Source organism: Homo sapiens, chromosome 15 (assembly GCF_000001405.40).
Source record: "Homo sapiens chromosome 15, GRCh38.p14 Primary Assembly".
NCBI classification, from domain to species: domain Eukaryota; kingdom Metazoa; phylum Chordata; class Mammalia; order Primates; family Hominidae; genus Homo; species Homo sapiens.
Genome location: NC_000015.10, coordinates 24,465,698 through 24,481,139, shown reverse-complemented (window position 1 = coordinate 24,481,139; position 15,442 = coordinate 24,465,698). Strand labels below are relative to the sequence as shown.

The window sequence follows — 15,442 nt, the reverse complement described above, 5'->3', positions numbered from 1 at the left end:
AACAAATTTACGAGAGAAAAACAAACAACCGCATTAAAAAGTAGGCAAAGCACCGGGCGCATTGGCTCACGCATGTAATCCCAGCACTTTGGGAGGCCAGGTTGGGCGGATCATGAGGTCAGTAGATCGAGACCATCCTGGCTAACATGGTGAAACCTCGTCTTTACTAAAAATATAAAAAATCAGCCAGGTGTGATGGCATGTACCTGTAGTCCCAGCCACTTGGGAGGGGGAGACAGGAGAATCGCTTGAACCCGGGAGGCGGAGGTTGCAGTGAGCCGAGATTGCACCACTGCACTCCAGCTTGGGCAACAGAGTGAGACCCGGTCCCAGAAAAGAAAAAAAATAGTGGCAAAGAATAAGAACAGACAATTTTCAAAACAGGACACACATGCGGCCAACAAGCATATGAATAAAAGCTCAATATCATTGATCATTAGAGAAATGCAAATCAAAACCACAATGAGATACCATCTCACACCAGTCAGAATGGCTATTATTAAAAAGTCAAAATAACAGATGCTGGTGAGGTTGCAGATAAAAAGGATCACTTACACACTGTTGGTAGGAGTGTAAGTTCATTCAACCATTGTGGAAAGCAATATGTCAATTCCTCAAAGAGCTAAAATCAGAACTACCATTCAACTCTGCAATCCCATTACAGGGTATACACCCAGAGGAATAGAAATCATTCTTCCAAAAAGACACATCCACATGAATGTTCACTGGAGCACTACTTACAAGAAAAAAGACATGGAATCAACTTAAATGCCCATCAATGACAGGATGGATAAAGAAAATGTGATACATATATATCATGGAATACTATGTAGCTGAAAAAAAAATGAGATCATGTCTTTTACAGGAACATGAATGGAGCTAGAAGGTATTATCCTTAGCAAACTAACACAGGAGCAGAATACCAAATTATCACATATTCTCACTTTTAAGTGGGAGCTAAATGATGAGAACTCATGAACACAAAGAACAGAACAAAGGTCACTGGGGCCAACTTGTAAGTGAAGGGTAGAAGGAGGGAGAGGAGCAGAAAAAGTAAATATTGGGTAGTAGGCTTAGTACCTGGGTAATAAAATGATCTGTACAATAAACCTCCATTACACAAGATTACCTATATAACAAAACTATACATGTATCCACAAACCTAAATTTAAATATATACAGTTAAAAAAATCAAAATCATATAAAAACTATAAAAAATAAAAAAAACTAAACTGACCTACTTTTCAAGTAAAGTTATATTGCTTAACAGTTACTGTATCTTATAACAAATAATCCTAATTCCTTTCTCCTGTCCTTTGCATTATTGCTGATATCCACTTCATATATATATGTGTGTATATATATACATATACACGCACACATACAAACACACATGCACATGTGCATATATCCGTACACATATATACTTATACATAAGCTATATCCATAGGCTTATATTATTTAATAATTTTTCTATTATTTTCAAGAAATTGTTTTCTCTTATAATTAGCTAAGATTATAAAAATGTTAAACCAAGAAAAAGTTAAAATTATATATAACTCATATTTTTAGAAATGCGAGAGACGGAAAAATATAAAATGCTCAATGAGAACCACGAAAGGCATAAAATGAATGGAAGATGAAAATAGGAAGAAGGAACAAGGACAACAAATCGAAAATATTGACAAATATGATAAATATTAATCCAACTATATCGCTTACCACTTTGAATGTCAGTGGTCTAACTGCACCAAGTAAAAGACACAGATTTACAAAATGAATCAAAAAACAAGACACAACTGTTATTTATAAGCCCAACCCAAATATAAAGACAAATAAAAGTAAATGAATGGAACAAAATGTACGATGCTAACTCTAATCAAAGTAAACAAGAGGAGCTATATGAATTACAGGCAGAGCAGACTTCAAAGCAAGAAAAGTTATCAGGAATAAAGAAGGGCATTACATAGAGATGAAGAGCCATTCTTCCAAGAAGATGTCATAATTCTTAAAGCCTATGAGCCTGATAACAGAGCATAAACTATGAGGCAGAAATCAACAGAACCACAAGGAAAAAGATGAATTCAGTATTATAGTTGGAAACGTTAACACCCTATATCAGATACGGACAGATCTAGCAGGCAGTAATTCAGGAGGGAAAAGCTGAACTCAACAGCACCAACAAGCAACTGGGCATAACTGACACCTACAGTCTCCTTCCCTCAACTACTCCAGAGGACACATTCTTCTTAAGCTCACATGGAATATTCAGCAAAATGTGCCACATTCTGGGACAAAAAATACCCCAACAATTTTTAAAAAGTAAATCATACAATGTCACCTGTCAGACCACAGTGGAATTAAAATAGAAATCAAAGGATGACTGGAATGATAACTGTAATATCCCAAAATGCATTGAGATTAAACAACACACTTCCATATAACATATTGGTCAAAGAAGATATCTCCAGCGAAATTTTTTTAAATTAACTAAATGAAAATAAAAGCACAATTTATCAAAATTTGTAGGATGAAAGGAAAGCAGAACATATAGGCAAATAAATACCATTGAACACATATATAGGAAATGACGAAAAGACCAAAAATCTGTCATCTGTGTTTCCACCTTTGGAACCTAGAAAAGGAAGAATATATTAAATCTAAAGTCAGTAAAAGAAAAGCGATAACGTTGTTAACAGACTAAAACAAAGGAAAAGTTAAAGCAACTGGATTTTTCAAACACATATTATCTTAATAGTTCTCAGAACACAGAGGCACCCAAAATTAACAGGGCAAACAAAGCACCCCAACACCCCCCTTGCTTACGGGTATGCAGCCATGACCCCCTCAGAAATGGGAACCTCAGGATTTAGAAATGATCAGTCTCGGGCTACTGAGGCCGGGCAGTATCATTTCCTCCGAAGTCACGCTGTACATTTTAGAATAGCTAAATAATAGATTTTTAGTGTTCTCACCATAAAGTATTAGCTGGTGAGTTGATGCCCATGTTAATTAGCTTGATTGAATCTTCCCCAATGAATACAAGAATCAAAATATCACACTGTTATCCATAAATATACGCAATGTGTCAACTAAGTTTTGGTAAAATCTGTATCTATGAATAATTCACAAATAGGAAACGTAGGTAAGTAACAATTGTTATGTCCATAATATAAAAGGGCATATGTGACAGAAAGCAAGGTTTTTAAATGTACGTTACGGTCTGGGAAACACGGAGAAATCCTGAGGTTTGAAGAAGAACAAACAGGGACGACGACACAGGCAGGCACCGCCGCAGGAACAAGCGCGCGTTCGCAGAGAAGCGACCAGAAAGCCCAACGCGCACCCGGCAGACATCCGCCCTGAGTTCTCCTGTAGATCTCACCGCCCTCTCCCCCTGTCAGCCGCGCCCTCTGATCACCGCCCTCCACCTTCCTCCCTCACTCCCTGTCAGCCTCGCCCTCCACCCGCGGCCCTCACGCCCCACGTGGGCCTGGCTCCCGCCCCCAAGCCCAGCCTGCGCGGCAGCCTCCGGTTCCCCTCACTGCGCAGCTGCGACCCCCGCACCGGCACTTCCCTTCAGGCTGCTCCCACCATCACCTGTGTGGGCGCCAGGTGGAGAGGAGCCTGCAGATCCGAGTTTTCTCCTCCATGGATCCCACCCTACACCTGCAAAAGGACTGAGGGGGCAGAAACCTGCCCTGGCGGGGAAGTGAGGGTCTGAGCGATGGAGAAAAGGCGGCGAACAAGAGCAGCCCCATGAGCCCTGCAGTCAGGCAGCCGGGGGTCCTCTTTGCTCTTCTCCACCCTCCTTTCTCCCAGACACACGCCCCCCTGGCCCCGCCCAGGAGCCTCCCCGGGGGACAGGGCCCACTCACTCCTCAACGTCCTTCCCATAGGCTGAGCTCATGGGCTGGGGTAACATCTCAGGGAAACAAACCCAGACATTCGAATCCCTCCCCACAGAGCGCAGTCCTCAGGGAGCGGCCCTCCCTGCCTCCCCTGCCCAGTCCCTCCGTGGTCTGCCCTTCCTGCTCCTGCTTCCTCACCAATTACTCATCCCAGCGCTCCTTCCAATCCACTGACCTCTTCTCATGGCCTGGCCTGTGCCAGGCACACACGTTTTCCTCCTCGCTTTCCCTCCCCTGTCTCCTGGACCCACTGCGCCTCACTCTCCAGCATCTCCTCCAATGTTCCTCCTCCTGGAGGCTTCCCCTGTCCATCCCACCCCAGGCCTGAAACCTGTCCTCTCAGTTCCCAAGGGTAGCTCTTCCACCTTATAGTTTAATTTTTGTCAAGTTTTCTGAAACCCTATTGGACAGAAGCATCACAGAACATGGCAACTTTGTCTATGGTGTCTCTGAGCCCCACACATGTCCTGGACAGAAAGCAACTCTGAAAATTCTCTGGTAATCTATAAAAGTATAAATCAGTTTTAAAAGATTATTATCTGATAGAAGAAAATAAACTGAAGTTCCCATTTCTTTTCTACAGACGATAATCGGAAAACATTTGCTGTGTGCAGTTGTATGCACAGATTTTCGGAGTGGCTTTTTTTTTTTTTTTAACTGAAGAAGCAGTTTTGGTATTTACTCATCAAAGAGTAAGAGAAGAATACACACCTATATTATGAGCCATAAGTATAAGGAAATGTCTTGCAGACGTTTACAAATACTATGTAGAAGGAATCAGAGATTCAAGCCAGTATCTATAAATTTCAGGTAAAAGAAAAACAATATGCTGAAGTTTATTTGTGCTTATTAACAAAATAACTGGTCTTTGTGTGCTGGAAGGGAGTCTTGATATTCCATCTATTCAAATTAATGCTTTTGAACCTTGCAAATTAGAACAAACTAAGCCATATACGAAACCCTTTTTAAGTATGAGTCTCTAGCAAATTTTGTCTTGTGGTTCCTAGCAAACTTTCTGCACCTCTTCAACTAGGAGTATTTCAGATGAAATTTGTGGAAAACAATTATAGACAATGGGTGATATTTCCATTAATTTAATGAAGAGTGATAAAATATAAAAATAAAGATATTTTGAAAAATGATTATGAATAATTAAACAAAATAAAAGGCATTAATACACACTACAAAAATTTAAATTTGGTCATACATGATGTTTATGTGATGATTAAAAAGTACGTTGACACAGAAAGGGTCAAAGGCCTTTGCACACCAAAACAAACACTGTTTCATTTGTTCAAAACAAATACTGTGTCATTTGTTTTCAGACAGCAAACAGAATGATTCTTTGACACACTCAATCTTTCCCAGAAATAACCGAATTCCCCAACCAACACCAGAGTAGAGCAAGAAAATGTTGGTGTTTCCCATGAAGACACCACAGAGACAGACTCAACTCTCCTGCATCTACCTAGGCACTGTCTTGGATAGACGTGGTCTGGAGGAGGTAAATCTTGCCTAGTGAGTTGTCTGTGTCTGTGCAGGAAGCACCCAAGGATGTTTGTTTTGGAAAAATACAAAAGTATAAATTTGGTTGTACATGATGGCTATGTGACCAAGAAAAGAGTGTTTCCTTGTGTTTAACACACAAGTTTTAAACACATTTGTACACAAAACCAAAAACCAAGATGTAACATTACAGTGCCAGGACTGAAGGGGAAATGTGCCATGGGTCAGAAAGAAGAATGATTATTTAACAAATTCATGCTCATACAAAATAACTGAATTCGCCACCCCACCCAACAGGGGCTCCTCCCCTTGTGCATGCAGACCCCACAGAGAGGTTCTGATCTCAGGGCTCCCTGCTGGTCCTGCCTTTGATGTGCATCGTCTGGAGGAGGAGCCCCATGTCCACAGCATCATCTACAGCAAGGCAGGAGGCACCCGGGGCTGCATCTCCAGGTTTTCCCACCACCTGCTGTTGTTGAAGGTATGAAATACATAAACTGAGGAGTGGTGTTCACAGATCTTATAAGATTAACAACGATAGACTGGATTAAGAAAATGTGGCACATATACACCAAGGAATACTATGCAGCCATAAAAAATGATGAGTTCATGTCCTTTGTAGGGACATGGATGAAACTGGAAACCATCATTCTTAGCAAACTATCGCAAGGACAAAAACCAAACACCACATGTTCTCACTCATAGGTGGGAATTGAACAATGAGAACACATGGACACAGGAAGGGGAACATCACACACCGGGGACTGCTATGGGGTGGGAGGAGGGGGGAGGGATAGCATTAGGAGATATACCTAATGCTAAATGACGAGTTAATGGGTACAGCACACCAACATGGCACATGTATACATATGTAACAAACCTGCATGTTGTGCACATGTACCCTAAAACTTAATGTACAATAATAATAAAATTAAAAAATAAATAAATAAATAATAAAAAAGAAAACAAAAAAAAGATTAACAAAGACATTACAGACATAAGAGACAACAATGATATTCTAAAACTCTAAAGCCACTGATTGATTCAAAGTCCAGCTGAAAGTATTGGTGTAGGTGAAAGGCATGTAGATTTTTAATCTTCTTTCACTTCATTATGGAAAGGCACAGTCATTAAGAGAATGGTCACTAAATTATTGTATTAAATGAAGTCTGTTAGCAACTAAGAAACTGTTGCATTTGCACAGAGACAGAGGAATAAACCAATGAAAAAATAAAACATCATAAATAGAGACGTGTATATGTGAACAAATCATTTGTAAGTCAATTAATGGGGACAGATTAATTTTTCTAAAACTATTCAAAAAACTGAATATTTATAAGGGAATTAAAATCTGACCTTTAACTTCATTTTACACACAAAATCAGGTGGATCACAGACATATATATATATATTTAGTACAGTATATATATATATATTTAGTACAATATGTAGAACACATAAGAAAATATCTTTGGGACTATGTGGTAGGGTAGGGTACCTGAAACTAGACCTAGAAAGCACTAATTCTACAAGAAAATATTCTACATATTCTACATAGTTGACTTGAGCAACGACTTTGGAGACAGAATGAATCAAACTCAAAGCACTTTTAATCCTTTCATGTAGTGCTTAGTGTCAGATTCAGAACTGGCCCGTGGCAGTGGTAACAGTGCTCACCTCTGGAAATGTCAGGTGGGTTTGTATAAAATAATATATAAAGCATGTAGTATAATATCACGTCTATACATATCATTAAGACTAATTTTTATAATAAGTTGTGAGATTTATCTTTTAGATTTATATATCAGAATGAAATAATAAAACCACTAATAAATAATGGAGCAAATATTTCTAATTCAAGTTTTATAATTATTTTAAATTTATATTATTTTAAATTTATATTATGTATAATTATTTTAAAAACTTTTCTCAACTAACATGTTTATATTTGTTTTATATCATTCCTGTGATTACATGAGACAGAACATATATGCAAAATACATTTACAAAGGTATTGCTAACACTTACTTCATTCAGAACAAACTCTCTGAATCACTTTCAACTCATCTTGTCCATGATTTTCCCCACAATATCATCTGTGCTAATCACAAGCACTGATAGTGCTGCATTTCTCATGGGACTCCTATGCTACTCTATGTAAGTTTATCTTTCCAGTCTCCTGACACCCTTCTGTAAGTTTTGATGCTTGATATAATTACCCAAAGATGTCTTTGGGGAGGTTTAGACCAAGTTCTTGTGTGTGTGCCAACGGACAACCACATCATGACTGCTTTCTGGCAATAATGTTATAACCCTTTCAAATAGAAGATGCATCTCTCCTTAAAAGATGTTCCCCTTCCTGTGTCCAACCAGTTAATGGGTGCAGTACACCAACATGGCACATGTATACATGTGTAATAAATCTGCACATTGTGCACATGTACCCTAAAAATTAAAGTACAATAATAATAAAATTAAAAAAAGAAAAAAAAAGATGTTAAATTGTGTACCAAAGAATTGTTTACACACTTTTTCTCTGTGACTGCCCACTTCTCAGTGTTAAATGGTGGTGGCTGAGGCAGGAGAATCACTTGAACCCCGGGGGCGGAGGTTGCAGTGAGGGGAGATCTCGCCACTTCACTCCAGCCTGGGCGAAACAGCAAACTCCAACTCAAAAAGAAAAAGAAAAAATCATGGTGGCTAATCTGCTATATTTTAGTCTGTTATTAAGTAAACATTGTTGTATATATTTTCACATTAATTTAACAATTCTATTTACATTCTACTTAGTTATTAGAAATATTAGACTTATTAGTAAAGTGCTGTAATTGTTTTATAAACTATGGTTCAAGAAATCTGTTGATGAGGAAGATATAAATTGTAGAGAGACACTTGAAATTTTTCCTGAAGTGCTAGTTTTCTAAAGACTAAGGAAAATCTATATTAAAAAAATTGTGTCCTAAAGTTAGTAATATAAGCAATGATCCCTGCAAGCTACATTACAAATTCAATTCTTTAATCTATAACATTCTTGATCTCTGTTTTTCTTCATTCTCATTCACCCTTTTAATCACACAAATGGTGATAATACATAGGCACTGTAGAAGCAGATGCATTGTGATCTTCATAAAATGCTTTGTTCTGCCCCCTTGCTACTCTGGCAAACTCTACTTTTGGACACTTGGATATTGAAATTAGTTTTCCTGTTTCCCTGGGAAAATATTAAGTGAAGAAGAAACTCATACAATTCATAATTTAGGACTTTGACTGAAATTTCACCTATAGTTTTAGACTGCAGGAAGGTTGAATTGCATGAACATGAAGTAATGATGTTAAATATATGGGCCATTCATCCACTGAACTACAACTCCTAATCAGGCTAGAGTGTGGAGACAGCATGTTGGGATGTTTGTCTTATATTGTGGTCTAAGACTTGGGTTTGTTTGCAGTGACATCTTTTTTTAGAATTGTGGTGGCCTTTGTGAATTTAGTGGCTTAGTATATTGTGGGAAATCATGCCTTCCATGCTGTTAAAGCACTTGTTTGGGCACTCAGTGCTCAGCACTCTGTCCTTTGTGTCCATGATAATATGTCAGTAGAGTTTTGTGTATAGTGCCTGTTTTCCTTTAAATTTGAGAACTCAGATCTCAATTATTGTGACCACCATGTGGTAGTCCTCATAACTCATGTCCAGGTCTAACTGTGGCTCATATGTGTCACTCTGGCCATTTTTTGGTCCATTTATTGGTGGGCAGAATATTCACAGTATGCATCATAATAGATCAAAAAGTATGCATTAAAATGAAGAGGAACAGAAGATCTGTCATTTAAGTACTGTACTATAGTATCTTCAGTTAAAATTTAAAAAATGGAATAAACCTCCTTTAAGATGTCAAATTTAAAAGAGGAGTCATGTCTTAAAGAGTAAAGTATATGGAACTTGGAAGACGTGGAAGGTTTCTTAAAGTACAGATGCTCAAATAACAGCACCTAAATCACTTCTATGCTGATATCAGAAGTGAAAAATGTGGTCGAGGTCAGTCATATCTCCCACTCTAGGTCTCCAGGCTGCAAGATCTCATTTTCTCATATAAGCTATCAATGTGCTATAGAGAATATGCCCCATGTTTACAGACCATCATAAAGGCAATAGTCTTGGCTTTGTCTATGTCTGTGTGAGTGCAGCATGCAGACTCATGGCTTGGGAGGCTTTGTAGGCATGGTTCTTTGGCACAACCCTGATGCTAACACCGCAGAGTGCCGTGAACTATGAGCAGGGACCTATGTGGGGGACAGCTGGACAGTTCTTCCTGCTGTGAGATTCTTTGTTTAGCCAGAACACGTGCAGAGTCACCATTTAGCCTGGGTCCATCTCTTAGATCACTGCATGGTGGGGGGAGATCTGTTACACACTGCTTTTTCTTGTATCTACTCAGCTTTCTCCAGCCATACACAGCATATACTGAATCACTCACATGACTTCACCTGCCAAAAACCAGTTGTCCACAGATTCATATCGAGGTCTTAGTAAGCAAGCATTGTCATCAACCACCATATTTAGAAGCATTGTTTGTGTGCCCTACTCACCTGCTGCCAGGATGACATTTATTCTGTGGTCTTTGACCTTGGAAATGGACAATATAATTCCAAGATGTGAAGAGCAACAGAATATATGGTCCCAAATAATTCATGACAAGAGAAATAGAAATTATCACAGTGATCTGATAATCAGTTGAAGAACAAATCTCTGTACCAAGGGAATTAAAACACTCTCCTGATTGTAGAAATACAATTTGTGTTCCCTGTCACTGACATTTTGCAATATCGGCTTCTAAGGTCCAGCAGTCATTTTTTCCAGAAAGGCTTTACTGGAATTATGTGAATAAACTGCCAGACAATGCCTGAAAATGGGGCATCCTGGGATATATGAGGAACAGGCACCTCTCTCTGAAGAAGTGGTTACTGACACTTGAAATGTTCGTGGATAATGAGTAGCATGATTTCAAAGACAAAAATGGATGAGAGTCCCCAGAGCTAACTGTGTTTAACTGAAGCAGGTGCACCTGGGTTCCGAATGGTGGATAGATTAGGAAAGCTGCACTGCTGTTCTTTCCCTACTTGCCCACCCCATCTCCTGAAACCAAGCTAATGTTCTTGTGTCTTTTTGTTGGTTTTTGTTTTGCACCAAAATATTATTTTAAAATTATTTTGAAATCATATTTGACTTACAGAAGGAGGTATATATAGTGCAGAGAGTTTCATATACCTTTCAGCTTAAAGGAATGTTAACACATTATATAACCATAGACTATTCATGAAAACTGAGAAATTGACAGTGTTATAAAACCATCAATGGAACTACAGACTTTCTTCATAGTTCTCCTCAGGTTTCCAATAATGTCACTTTTCTATTCCAGTATCTAATCTAGGATACCACATTACATTCAATGCCAGGTGTGTTACTTAGCTATTGTTGTATAACAAATTCCCACACAGCTGAGTGGCTGAAAAGCACATACACATTACTCACAGCTTCTCTTGGTCAGGAATCTAGATGTAGAAGATGGCCAAGGCTGAAGTCTCCCCTGAAGGCTCACGTGGGGAAGGATCCTCCCCAGGCTCACATGATTGTTGTTAGGATTTAATTCTGGTTCCATGTTAAGATGACTTCAATAGGAAATTATTTCATACCTTTAAAGAATTAATACAAATTCATTATGAATTCTCTAAAAACATTAAATAACAGCAATGACAGTGGTGAAGAGATCACTTCCCAATGCACACTATGAGGTATTTCATCCTCATACCACAATTAGACCAAAACATTTCAAGAAAGGAAAATTAAGACCAATATGCCTTATGAATAAAGAGGCAAAAATCCTTAAGGAAATAATAGCAAAACAAGTCAGCAACATGCAAAAAGTATTATACACTATGGCTAAGGGTATTTCCTCAGGAATGCAAATTTTGTTCAGCATACAATTCATGCACTGTATTAATGGAATAAAGCACAGAACCTGCACGATCATCTCAAAGACACAGAATAAGCACTAGACAAATCAAAAATGCATTCCGATAAAGATACGCAGCAAATAAGAACTGTAAAGAAGCTGTCTTCACTTTAAAGCATCCAAAAAAATAAAAACCCTCACATGATATAAAAGTTTTCTGAAAGGCTCAATACTTTCTCCAAGATTAGAAATAAGACAAGGAATTTCATTCTGGCCACATTTTTCCCCCACATTATGCTAGAGGATGTAGCAAGGACAATTAGTCTAGAAAAATGAATATAAGACATCTAGTATAAAAGAAAGTAAAACTCTGTTGGCAATTGACATGATTTTTGTATAGAACATCAAAATGACTCTAATAAAATAGAATGCAAATTAAAATATAAGTTCAATACAGTTCCAGTACACAGTCAGTATATAGAAACATGTACTTCTATATACTAGAAATTAACAAACTAAACAAAAAACTCAGAAACCCATGCTATTTTAAATAGCATCAAAAAGGAAAAAAACATAAGAATAAATTTAACAAAATACACGTACCATATGTATATTGAAAACTGTAAAATACATTGAATGTAATTAATAAAATTCTATAAAAATGGATAAATATTGAATGATCATTGATTAAAAGGCTTGATATTATTAAGTTGACAATACTTTTTATATGGCTCTATAGATTTAATGCAATTTCCATGAAAATCCCAGGTGACCGTTTTTTCACTAACTTGTCAAACAGATTTTAAACTGTATATATAATGCAATAGAGAAGAGATAAAATAATTTTGAAAAAAAAACAGAATTTGTAAAATAGACTCATACTTTCTGATTTTAAAACTAAAGACAAAGCCATACTAATTAATATGTGTGGTGTAGACATACAGATTGAATATCAAAAAGTTAACCTTTACATTTACGGTCAAATAATTTTACAAGGGCTCCAAATAAATTCAATATGGAAAAGTATTTTTTTCATTAACGGATTCTGGGACAAGTCAACATCATCAACATCAACAGGCAAGTTAAATTCCTCCCTCACAGCATATGCATAAATAGTTCAAATTAGTCACTGATATGGTTTGGACTTGTGTCCCTGCCCAAATCTCATGCCACATTATAATCCCCAATGTTACAGGAGGGGCCTGGTGGGAGGTGATTGGATAACGGGAGAAGACTTCCCCTTGCTGTTCTCATGACAGTAAGTGAATTTTCATGAGATACCGTTATTTAAAAGTATGTAGGACCTCACCCTTCTTTCTCTTCTTCCTTCTCAGGCCATAAAAGATGTGCCTGCTTTCCCTTCTCCTTCTGTCATGATTGTAAGTTTCCTGAGGCCTCCCCAGGCATGTTTCCTCTACAGCCTGCAGAACTATGAGTCAATTAAACCTCTTTGCTTTATAAATTACCCAGTTTCAGGTAGTTCTTTATAGCCGTGCAAGAACAGGCTAATACAGAAAATTGCTACTGGGAGTGGGGCATTGCTATAAAGATACTTGAAAATGTGGAAGTGACTTTGAAACCGGGTAATGAGCAGAGGTTGGAACAGTCTAGAGGGGTCAGAAGAAGATAGGAATATGAGGAGAACTTTGGAACTCTCCAGAGACTGGTTAAATTGTTGTGACCACAATGCTGATAGTGACATGGGCTATGAAGTCCAGGCTGAGGTGGTCTCAGATGGAGATGAGGAACTTATTGGGAACTAGAGTAAGGGTCACTCTTGCTATGTTAGCACAGAGACTGGTGGCATTGTGCCCCTGCTCTAGGGATTTGTGGAACTTTGAATTTGAGACTGATGATTTAGGGCATCTTGTGGAAGAAACTGCTAAGCGCCAAAGCATTCAAGATGTGGCCTGGCTGCTTCTAAGAGTGTATTGTCATAGTGCGAGCAAAGTGATGCTATGAAACTAAAACTTATATTTAAAAAACAGGCAGAGCATAAAAGTTTAGAAAATTTGCAGTCCAGCCATTTTGTAAAAAAGAAAAACCTGTCCAGGTGCTGTGGCTCATGCCTGTAATCCCAGCACTTTGGGAAGCTGCGGCGGACAGATCACAAGGTCAGGAGTTCCAGAGCAGCCCAGCCAATATGGTGAAACCTCGCCTCTACTAAAAATACAAAAATTAGCTGGGCATGGTGGCACATGCCTGTAGTCCCAGCTACTCAGGAGGCTGAGGCAGAAGAATTACTTGAACCTGGGAGGTGGAGGTTGCAAGGTTGCAGTGAGCTGAGACCGCACCACTGCAATCCAGCCTGGGCAACAGAGTGAGACTCCATCTCAAAGAAAAAAAAAAAAAAGAAAAGAAAAACAAAAAAAGAAGAATCCATTTTCTGGGGAGGAATTCAAGCCAGCTGCAGAAATTCGCATAAGAGGAGCCAAATTAGCCGGGCGCGGTGGCTCAAGCCTGTAATACCAGCACTTTGGGAGGCTGAGACGGGTGGATCATGAGGTCAGGAGATCGAGACCATCCTGGCTAACAAGGTGAAACTCTGTCTCTACTAAAAAATACAAAAAATTAGCCCAGCATGGTGGCCTCATACTGAGGGTTTAACCAAGGTTTTCTCTGGTTTGAGCATTTTGGACTTAGACCATGGTACCCAACATGCATCCCAGGATCTCCAACTTTACATGGCATGTGGTAGAAATGGTCAGCCTCCATAATCATGTGATTCAGTTCCCCTAAAAATCTCTATCTATCTATCTGTCTATCTATCTATCTATCTATCTATCTATCTATCTATCTATCGCTAACTAGCTAGTTCCTATGTATCTATCCTATTCGTTCTGTTGCTCTAGAAAACCCTGACTAGTGTAGATTTTGGTAGTAAGAACGGTTCTATAGGAAGAGAATTTTAAGGATGAGTGTCCTTAATCAAATTTGGGGTTTCTAGAATTGGCTTTCTAATCTGATTGCACCTAAATTCTAAGAACTGTACTTCTAACAGTAGAAAGAGCAATGACAGTCAATGACATGAACTGTTTTTAGAGATCCCCAAAATATCTGCACTTGATACTCTTGAAACACTGATAAGAGGCAAGGTACTTGTTTACTCTGTATGTGATACAGACATTTGCGTAAAACCATGGAACACAATGATGATGGGTTTGTTGCTTCTAATTCACTGGGAAATTTGATGAAAGACAATAATGAGCTTAGGGATTCAATTTTGCAGAACCAGCTCCACATAAACAGCCTAAGAGTTTCTACCTGTGCTCTGAGCCAGAAAACTCTCTTGTAGCCACAGGGAAGTATTTGCTAAAAGTCAAACACAAGCCCTTATCATGCCACTGGCTGAATTACAAGAAACGTTGAACTCCTCAGTCTGGCAGGGTGTCTACTGTTGAAGTGGAAATTGAGAAAGAATAGCATCCTGTAACTTGGGATGAGGATGGATGGGAAGACTGATGTGGCTGGGGACACTGATCTCCTAAATTCTAATGAGTTTTTATTGCCAGCAGAAGTGGCCTCCTTACAGCCACCCCCTTGGCAATGGCCTTCCCACACAAGGTGATGTAGGCCTTTCCATATGTGTCTGAGTAGCTTACATCTACAATGCCTAAGGAAACGGTAATGGCTTCCCCTGAAGCAGCTGTCAAACAATACACTGCTGATTATCTTCAAGACCCACCCCTGACAGCTGTGTTTCTTCTAGACTCATGGTGAGACTAAAGTTACAACAGGCCCCTAAAGCTGATGGATAGTATTTCCCATGAGGAGATGTGATCTATGTCAAAAAAGCAACCTGAGTTTTCTAACTAATGCAAACAGAAATCTGAAGACCCTATGTGGAAATAAAGATTATGGCTGTGGATAGCTGGGTGTGGTGGCTTGTACCTGTAGTCCCGGCTACACGGGAGGCTGAAGTGGGATGAATGCTGGAACCCAGGTGTTTGAAGCTGCAGTGAGTCACGACTGTACCACTGCACTCCAGCCTGGCCAAAAGAACAAGACCTCATCTGTAAGAAACCAAAACAAGAAAAAAAAAAAGCGTTGATAACAGTAGAAGGAATATAAACT

At 38.8% G+C, this 15,442-nt stretch overlaps 1 long non-coding RNA gene across 2 annotated transcripts in view, besides 1 other annotated feature; it reads right to left on the bottom strand.

Moving 5' to 3' along the window:
* LOC105370733 (uncharacterized) overlaps nucleotides 1-15,442 on the bottom strand; it is a 440,742-nt gene that overhangs the window by 61,282 nt on the left and 364,018 nt on the right. Inside the window, exon 1 of one of the 2 annotated variants that reach the window (XR_007064536.1) lies at nucleotides 2,567-3,440. The exons of the other annotated variant lie outside the window; for it this stretch is intronic. This is a non-coding gene — a long non-coding RNA (uncharacterized LOC105370733). Of the gene's footprint in view, nucleotides 1-2,566; nucleotides 3,441-15,442 lie in introns of those variants that run through there. 2 annotated transcript variants of the gene reach the window in all.
* Nucleotides 3,085-3,584: an enhancer, noted in NCBI's record as "H3K4me1 hESC enhancer chr15:24722703-24723202 (GRCh37/hg19 assembly coordinates)". NCBI's record gives its function as "activates a minimal SCP1, AML or CMV promoter by ChIP-STARR-seq in naive H9 embryonic stem cells {active_cell/tissue: H9 hESC(naive)}" and the evidence as "EXISTENCE:reporter gene assay evidence [ECO:0000049][PMID:30033119]".